Below are 8,494 nucleotides of genomic sequence, written 5' to 3'. Positions count from 1 at the left end.
CTCTGGGAAATGTAGTCCTCCGGCTGCTCTGGACTCTGCAGTGGCCTTGGCCTCTGAAGGGGCAGAGGTGGGACCTGGGCTTACCCTGCTTTTACCAGCTTCCCTCTGAGCCGTCCAGACCCCTGCAAGTCAGGCCTGCCTGCCCCAGCTGCCGGGCAGCTTGGACCTGGTCCTGTAAACTGGACGGTGTTGCTTGGGCCGAGGCCTCTTTGGGCACCAGATGGAGTGAACGACGTCACTGACAGCATCATCTTGGGTCCCTGGGGCCAGGTCCAGCTCCTCCCTCTGTGACAGCATTCATTCAGCTGGCAGGTCTTTTTTTAAATCAGTCTTGAATTCAGCTTCAGTGCATCACAGTCCAATCAAACGACACTCCGTGAGCTCTGATTTCCACCGGAGGGAGGGGTCATGAGTTGGTTGGTAATGGATTGCCTCTTGGAGGTTGCCTCCACTACCTGGAACTTCGCAAAGGACGGGAGTGTGACAGCAGCTTCAGGCAACCCGTAAATAGTTTCCGAGCGCCTGGCAGTGTGTCAGTGCTGGGCGCACTGCGAAAAGCTCACAGCTCAGTGGGGATGGAAAGAAGGACACGTGTAAGTGGTCACAGGTGTGCAAATGTGTGGCAGGATCCTAGAAGCGGGGCTCTGGGGGCTCTGGGTCTGGTCTGGGAATCAGGGACGGCTGCCCCCAGGAAGGAAGAACAAAGGGGGAGTCCCATTCGGGGACAGCCTGCCTTGCAGGAGGCCCAGGAGGCCCGTGTGGCTGCATGGGGCCCAAGGGGACGAGAGGCTGCAAACCCAGAACGCAGACCCAGAGGGCCCAGCTGAGGATTCCGGATGTGAGGGAGGTATCCCTGCTCCCATCTGGACCACCTGTGGGAACCCGAAGTCTCCACAGCCCTTTTAGGGCTGATTGGGCCTGGGCTCGATGGGGGAAGCTGCCAATTTAAGCTGACCAGAAGAGTCAGAAGTGAGCTCCTCCGTCTCCTGATTCTCAGTGGCCAAGGCCTGTCTGCTCGCCCAGATGAAGGCAGGGGGCTGCAACTTCTCTTCCAACCATGGAGCCAGCCCACGGTGCCTCAGGCCCACCTAGAGCCTCCCAAGAACAGGAAGCTGCCCTGGGAGGGAGTGGGTGTTCCCTGGCCATGGGGGATGGGCACCCAGGCTCTGGAGTCAGACAGACGGGGCTCTGCCCCGCCATCAACCAGCTGGGAGACCTTGAGCAACTCACTTGGCCTCCCTGGGCCTTGGTGTTTCCACCTGTCGCATGGGAATGACAGTGTCCACCTCTTAGGGCTCTCGTGAGTCCGGGTGAGACAGTGTTTGTGAAACGCTGAGCTGAGTCCCTGCTGCAGAGTGAGTTAGGAATCAATTTCAGCCCTGTGGGTTAGTAATTGATTTCATTTGACAAACGAGGCACAGCCGTCTCTTCCTTTTGAGTGCCCGCTTCAGAAGGGCCCAACCCTGTGGTCTGGCCTCCACCCCTTTCCTGGCAGGGATGAGGCCAGAGTCCAGGAGCCTTCAGTCTGGGGTTCCCTGCAGACGCCCTGGCTGGGTCCAGCTGGGCTGGAGCAGGCTAGACCTGCCTCATTCCCCACTCTTCCTCTCCAGCGTGCTCCACTCAGACTGTGCGGCCATAGAGGGGATGTCGTGGCCGCGAGACGTCCTGCCATCTTGGGTGCAGCAATGATGACATGTGCTGCTTCATCCCGGACACTAGACGGCTGGAACCTGGCGCACATGGAAGTGTGCACGCCAGGCACGGATATTGAGCGTGTATAAGCTCTTTGTGTGCTGAGCTCTCTATGTGTTCAGCTTATCGACAAAGTCTAATGACAGTCCTGTAACGCAGCTGTGATATCCCCATTTACAGACGTGGAAGCTGAGGCTGAGTGGGTGAAGGCCTCGAGCCAGGAAGCTGAAAAGAGAAGGGGTCCGGCTCCTAAGTGGTCCCTATGGGGGGTGGCACGAGGGCCGCTGGACTCAGATCCCTGGACCACAGGGAACTGATCTGCTCATCTCCCCACCAAGCACTCACCCCATTCTCCCTGGGTGGCCTCAGGAGGGGCACAGGAGCCCGGCCCAGACAGGGGCTATTAATACCCAGAGGCTGTGTCAGCATTTCGTCTGGCTAGAGCTGCTGGCATGTTCTGAGAGCCACAATGGGCCTCACACTGTTGGGGCCATGGGGTCTGATTTGGCTCCTGCCCAGCAGTAGTTAAGACATAAAGTCTGGGGTAGGATGGCCCCAGGTTCAAACCCTGGCTCAGCCACCTCCAGAGTGACCCCAGGCAAATCCTTTCGCCATTCCAAGCCCGTTTTCCCCTTTGAGGGCTGGCAAGAAGATTGTGTGAAGGGCTCTTTCTGTCTGTGATGGTTTTGGTGGCTTCCTCCAGGACCCTGAGACCTGCTCCTCTCCCTTGTATGGTGGGGTGACACTGTTCACAGTCTCAGGTAGCTGGGAAGCAAGAGCAAGCAAGCTTGGTGGGCTAACCTGAACCACCTACTATAGCACCCAGATACAGGGAGGCAGGATGGGACCACAGACACTCCTGGTTGCCTCAACCCACAAGCCTTTATTTTTACTTTATTTTTTTAGAGACGAGGTCTCACTATATTGCCCAAGCTGGTCTCGAACTCCTGGGCTCAAGTGATCCTCCTGCCTCCTCCTCCCAAAGTGTTGGGATTACAGGCACGAGCCACTGTGCCTGGCCCCCACAAACCTTTATAAGCACCCAATATGGGCCGCACAATCCCACTTCCCAAGAGACTGAGAATTCATTCATTCATTCATCCATCCATTCATTCATTCAATGCTTTTATTGATCTCGTCCTCTCATTGATCTCGCAGTCTAGTTGGGGATACCAGGACACACATCCACAAAATAATTAGCCAATTTATAAAAGAGTATAATTTTACCAATAGCCTTATTTTTTCTTACTATCAAAGTGTTACATACTTACTGCAATAGATTCAACACACGCGGTTGATATAGGTTTCATCCTACCACCCAGTGTTAACGTGAGGGTGATCAGGATATAAACGGTTTCTCACTTGTCTCATTTCCAATTACTAAAATATTTTGCATCAACCAAGCATTACTTTATTAATTAGAAAATAATATATACTAAATAAGCTATATCTCTATATATCATATATATGCAACATACACAAAAATATGCATTTAAAAATTATTATTATTATTTTTTGAGACAAGGTCTCACTCTGTCACCCAGGCTGAAATGTAGTGGCATGATCTTGGCTCACTGCAATCCCTGTCTCCCGGGTTCAAGTGATTCTTATGCCTCAGCCTCCCGAGTAGCTGGGACTACAGGTGCATGCCACCACACCCAGCTAATTTTTGTATTTTTTGGTAGAGACAGGGTTTCAACCATGTTGGCCAGGCTGGTCTTGAACTCCTGACTTCAAGTGGTCTGCTGCCTTGGCCTCCTAAAGTGCTGGGATTACAGATGTAAGCCGCTGCGCCTGGCCCCAAAATATGCATTTTAAACATGTGATGACATTATACATTCTTCTGAAAAGCAACCTATCCTTTTCACTTAACAATATAAATCTGGCCATGTTTCCATGACACTCTATTATTTTTCAAAGGCTGCCTGGCATTTTGTCACATGGATGGGCCAGAATTTATGTAACCAATCCCCTGTTATTGGACATTTCATTGTTTCCATTGTGTAACTATTCAAAAACTACTCTAGGGTGGCTGTCCTTCTGCATATATCCCTGTGCTCTAAAGCAGGATAGAAACAAGTAGTCAAGGCCGGGCGCAGTGGCTCACGCCTGTAATCCCAGCACTTTGGGAGGCCGAGGCGGGTGGATCATCTGAGGTCAGGAGTTCAGGACCAGCCTGACCAACATGGTGAATCCTGGTCTCTACTAAAAATACAAAATTAGCTGGGTGTGGTGGCTAACGCCTGTAATCCCAGCTACTTGGGAGGCTGAGGCATGAGAATTGCTTGAACTCAGGAGGCAGAGGTTGCAGTGAGCCAAGATGGCACCAGTGCATTCTAGCCTGGGCGACAAGAGCGAAACTCCGTCTCAAAAAAAGAAAAGGCCGGGCCAGTGGTTCACGCCTGTAATCTCAGCACTTTGGGAGGCCGAGGCAGGTGGATCAGGACTTTGAGACCAGCCTGGCCAATGTGGTGAAACCCCGTCTCTACTAAAAATTCAAAAATCAGCAGGGCTTGGTGGCGTGCACCTGTAATCTCAGCTACTCAGGAGGCTGAGGCAGGAGAATCGCTTGAACCCGGGAGGCAAAGGTTGCAGTGAGCCAAGATCGCGTCATTGTACTCCAGCGCCTGGATGACAAGAGCGAAACTCCGTCTCAATTAAAAAAAAAAAAGAAAAAGAAAAAAGAAACAAGTAGTCAAGGTGGGGTGGCTGGGACCATGCTGGGAGGGATCCCCATGGGATCTGGTGGGCTAGCCCAAACTACCTACTGTAGCGTCCAGACATGGGAGGCAGGATGGGGCCACAGACACTCGCGGTTGACAAGCCAAGTCCAACCACCCTCTTCCCATGTTAGAGGAACAAGTGCAGGCCCAGAGTGGTGACATCACTTGTGAGGCCACACAGCTAGCCAGGGCCAGAGCTGGGACTTAGGCAGGCCAGTCCCTCTGACTCTGAGCCTGTGAGCTGTCCTCCTGGCCACGTGTCCCACAGCTTCTCTGTTCCCTGCCTGCTTGGCCTCGTCTGTCACTCATTCACTTACTCATTCAGTTTCATTCATTCACTCACCAACACTTTTTTTTCTTTTTGAGACAGGGTCTCGCACTGTTGCCCAGGCTGGAGTGCAGTGGCATGATCTTGGCTCACTGCAACCTCCAACTCCCAGGCTTAAGTGATCCTCCCACCTCAGCCTCCCAAGTAGCTGGGACTATAGACGCATGCCACCACGCCCGGTTAATTTTTCTGCTTTTTGTAGAAATGGAGTTTCACCATGTTGTTCAGGCTGGTCTTGCATTCATGAGCTCAAGCAATCTGCCCACCTTGGCCTCCCAAAGTGCTGGGATTACAGGCATTGGCCACCGCACCCAGCCTTCACCAACACTTCTTGAAGCCACAATGTGCCAGGCCCCATGGACGGACCAATGAGAAGAGCAAAGATGACCTTGGTGGCCCTGTCCCCTTAGACCAGTAGACGTCCCAGGAGCCTTGCTCCACCTGGGCCTTGTTCCAAATATCGATTGCTGAGAGGTGGGCTGGGAGTGAATTGATTTGCCAGGGCCCACAGCTGGTACAAGGATTCAGACCCAAAGCTCAGCCTAAATCCCTAACCATCTGACAATACTACTTCTCTCTCACTTGACAGCAGGAGTTTTCTGGCAGCTTTTGGTACCTAGAGCAGTTTGGACATTGCAGACACTTGTTTTCTGTCTTTAAGAGTTTAAGATAGTTACCATAAATACAAACATGCATATTTACCCCTGGCTTATACCTAACCCTTGCTATGCCTGTGCCAGGCTTGGAGTAGAGTTTACGCCCTACATCACCCAGTGTAACCAGCACAGACACTTCACAGACAGGGCTTTTCACGCCCTGCACACAAAGGGGAAAACAAGCTCAGAGTTGAGGGATCTAGCCAGGCCACTGCATGAACCAGCAGGGAGCCCCAAGTCAAATCTCACCCCCCACCCCTTGCCCTCTTCCCTCTTCTGCTCTCTGCTGTTTTCTTGTTTGTTTTTTTGAGACAGGGTCTCGCTCTTTCACCCAGGCTGGAATTAAGTGGCGTGATCTCAGCTCACTGTAACCTCCGCCTCCCAGGTTCAAGCGATTCTCCTGCCTCAGCCTCCCGAGTAGCTGAGACTACAGGTGTGCACCACCACGCCTGGCTAATTTTTTGTATTTTTAGTAGAGATGGGGTTTCGTCATGTTGCCCAGGCTGGTCTCAAACTCCTGAGCCCAGGCAATCTGCTCGCTTTGGCCTCCCAAAGTGCTGGGATCACAGGTGTGAGCCACCACGCCCAGCCTTCTTTTTTTTTTTTTAAGCCCATATCCCTTTCGGACGCAGCATAGCCTCACCTCTTTATTCTGTGAGTGTTTGGGGTTCTGTGTCCTGCTAGGAAAAGGCTAGTCCCCCGGGGCGGGGACTGTCGTCTATTTGTTCACTGGTGGGACCCAGGTGCTCAGGCAGTGCCTGGCTCATAGTAGAAACAACTTCCAAGCCGGGCTCGAACCTGCTACACACCTGGTCATCAAAGATGGCCAGTGGGACACTGTTAGGGGACTATTGTGACACTATTGGGGGACTGACGGCAGAAAGGAAGGGGAGGGAGTGGGTGAGAAGCTCCACTCTGGGTGGGGCCAACGGCCTGGCAGCTGCAGGGGAGAGGAGGGAGGGTCCGCCGCGGGCTCCCCTGCCAGGAGGGCGAGGGAGCCCCGCGGAAAGCATTTTTCACCCCCGCCTCCCGCCCGGATCGCTTTCTCAGTTCGCATTTCTAAGGCCGCTCCTGGGTTATTTTGGTCGGGAAACCTGATCCTTCGCTGGGTTTATTTTAGCACCTTGGAGAACTCCCAGTCCCGCACCCGATCCCAGGCCGCCCCCTCCGTCCTTCCCCGGCGGCGGGGGGCGGGGGACCGCGGGGCGTGTTGGTGGGCGGCGCGCCCCTGGCCCGGCCGGGGTTGCCCGCGTCCCCCCACTGGCATCTCCTGCTCGTGGGCTTCTGACCTCTCGGACGGAGGCTGCTGGGTGGGACTGGTGGTGAGCGGGTGCAGAGGGGCGGCGTCGGGGTGGGCGGGGCGGTGCTGAGCGCGCTGCAGCTCCGCGGTGCCGGCGTTGGGCTGCCTGAGCCTCCGGACCTGGGCTGGGAGACTGTGCGTTCTGACGCGCGCCCCGGGCGGGGAAGACCTTAGGCGCTCAGGGCGGTGGCTGGAGGCTCCTAGAAACCTCCAGGAGGATGGGGAAGCCCGGCCAGAGGGGGAGTGGAGGGTGTTGCGGGGGTTCGGGGGGCGGAGTGCGAGGCCAGGAGCCCTACCTGGGACCCTCGGTGGGCAGCGAGGGACAGTCCCTACTCGCCCCTTCCTGATCTCGATTCAGCCTCAGTGACTCGGACTCAGCCCCACACTCACACCCAACACACCCGCATGTGCAGACACACTTGCACACTCACACTCATGCACACCCACAGATGTGCTCACCACACAATCCAGTTCACACCCACACCCACACAGACACACAGACACATGGCCTCATCCACAGACACACATGGACCCAAACACACAACCAGAACACACACTTAAACACATCCTTACACCCCCACTTTCATCCCCTCACACAATACACACACGGTTATACACAACTTGCACGCACGTGCCCATCAACACCCATACCACATATGCTCATTCACACCATTACACACCCCATACACACATGGACACACACCCACATGGCATGCAGGCACATACACTTACAAGATGGACACACTCATACACACCCACAGTCACCAACAACTGTCAAATATAGCCTCACACGCAGAGATGCACACTCACATCATCACGCAGAGATGCACATGCCCCCACACGCCCTATCCCACTGCACACACACCCCACAGCCTCACAACCCACAGCCCTGGTGCACGCACCCTTCCTCCAGCTCAGCAGCAGACACACACATCGAAACAACTGACCGACATACCTCCTGATTTATAGCCATCGATGCTTACTCATAACCATTTTGAGCATCAGTCTGTACCTATTTATTATTGATGATAATCAATACCCTCATTCATGGCTCCTGGCATTATCCCCGACATCTCAGGGAAGGGGATGTGAGTGCTGTTGTCTGGGCCTGGCTGTGACTCCTCCGCTATATCTTCTCAGTGCCTGGCCCGGCGGACGTGTCCGGTCCACACTGGGGAAGGAATGAGCTGGAACAGTGGGCAGGTGCCCCAAGCCTAACTTGCCCTATAAGCCATGTGGTTCTGAGCTTCGGCTGAAAAGGCCCCAGCCTCCAGATTTGCAGCCAGCACAGGCAGCGGTTTCAATCCCTTGTCCCATGCCCTGCCATACCCATGCGGCACCATGGCCCTCAGTGGAGAGTGACGCTCTCACTGAGTGCAGGGCCAGAAGACCCGGGTTCTAGTGAAGGAAGCCTCCCTGGAGGACTTCACTGGGCCTCTGTTCCCCACCTGTAGGGGAGGCTGCTGGACCAGCTCTCTCTGAGATCTTGTCCCTACTCCCCTGGCCAGGCTCAGCCTGCCCCCTGTCCCAGTTAGGCAGGTCAGGGATGCAGACATGCCCTACGCCTCCATCTGCCACCTAGCCTCTCAATGTCTCCCACCTTCAGACACCTGTTTGGCTCTTTGGCCCCACCCACCTCCCTGGTGGACATTCCAAGCTTCGTCATTGGCTTTCGGTCTGGTCCCCAACAGTTGGGGAGAGAACGCTGTCTCCCAGGGCAACAGAATTCCAGCACCGAACATTTCCATCTGCAGAACAAAAACTTTTCCCTCTCTTGAGATTCCTTTTTGGCCTC

General features: G+C 54.5%; 4 annotated features.

Annotated features, from left to right (window-relative positions):
- Positions 50 to 169: an enhancer, noted in NCBI's record as "active region_29185". NCBI's record gives its function as "activates an Ori minimal core promoter by ATAC-STARR-seq in GM12878 lymphoblastoid cells {active_cell/tissue: GM12878}" and the evidence as "EXISTENCE:reporter gene assay evidence [ECO:0000049][PMID:35858748]".
- Positions 748 to 1,663: an enhancer, noted in NCBI's record as "H3K4me1 hESC enhancer chr9:134163383-134164298 (GRCh37/hg19 assembly coordinates)". NCBI's record gives its function as "activates a minimal SCP1, AML or CMV promoter by ChIP-STARR-seq in naive H9 embryonic stem cells {active_cell/tissue: H9 hESC(naive)}" and the evidence as "EXISTENCE:reporter gene assay evidence [ECO:0000049][PMID:30033119]".
- Positions 5,748 to 6,605: an enhancer, noted in NCBI's record as "H3K4me1 hESC enhancer chr9:134158441-134159298 (GRCh37/hg19 assembly coordinates)". NCBI's record gives its function as "activates a minimal SCP1, AML or CMV promoter by ChIP-STARR-seq in naive H9 embryonic stem cells {active_cell/tissue: H9 hESC(naive)}" and the evidence as "EXISTENCE:reporter gene assay evidence [ECO:0000049][PMID:30033119]".
- Positions 6,606 to 7,464: an enhancer, noted in NCBI's record as "H3K4me1 hESC enhancer chr9:134157582-134158440 (GRCh37/hg19 assembly coordinates)". NCBI's record gives its function as "activates a minimal SCP1, AML or CMV promoter by ChIP-STARR-seq in naive H9 embryonic stem cells {active_cell/tissue: H9 hESC(naive)}" and the evidence as "EXISTENCE:reporter gene assay evidence [ECO:0000049][PMID:30033119]".

This window comes from Homo sapiens, chromosome 9 (genome assembly GCF_000001405.40).
Source record: "Homo sapiens chromosome 9, GRCh38.p14 Primary Assembly".
NCBI lineage: Eukaryota > Metazoa > Chordata > Mammalia > Primates > Hominidae > Homo > Homo sapiens.
The sequence above is the reverse complement of the archived record's forward strand: the minus strand, read 5'-3'. Positions and strand labels throughout refer to the sequence as shown.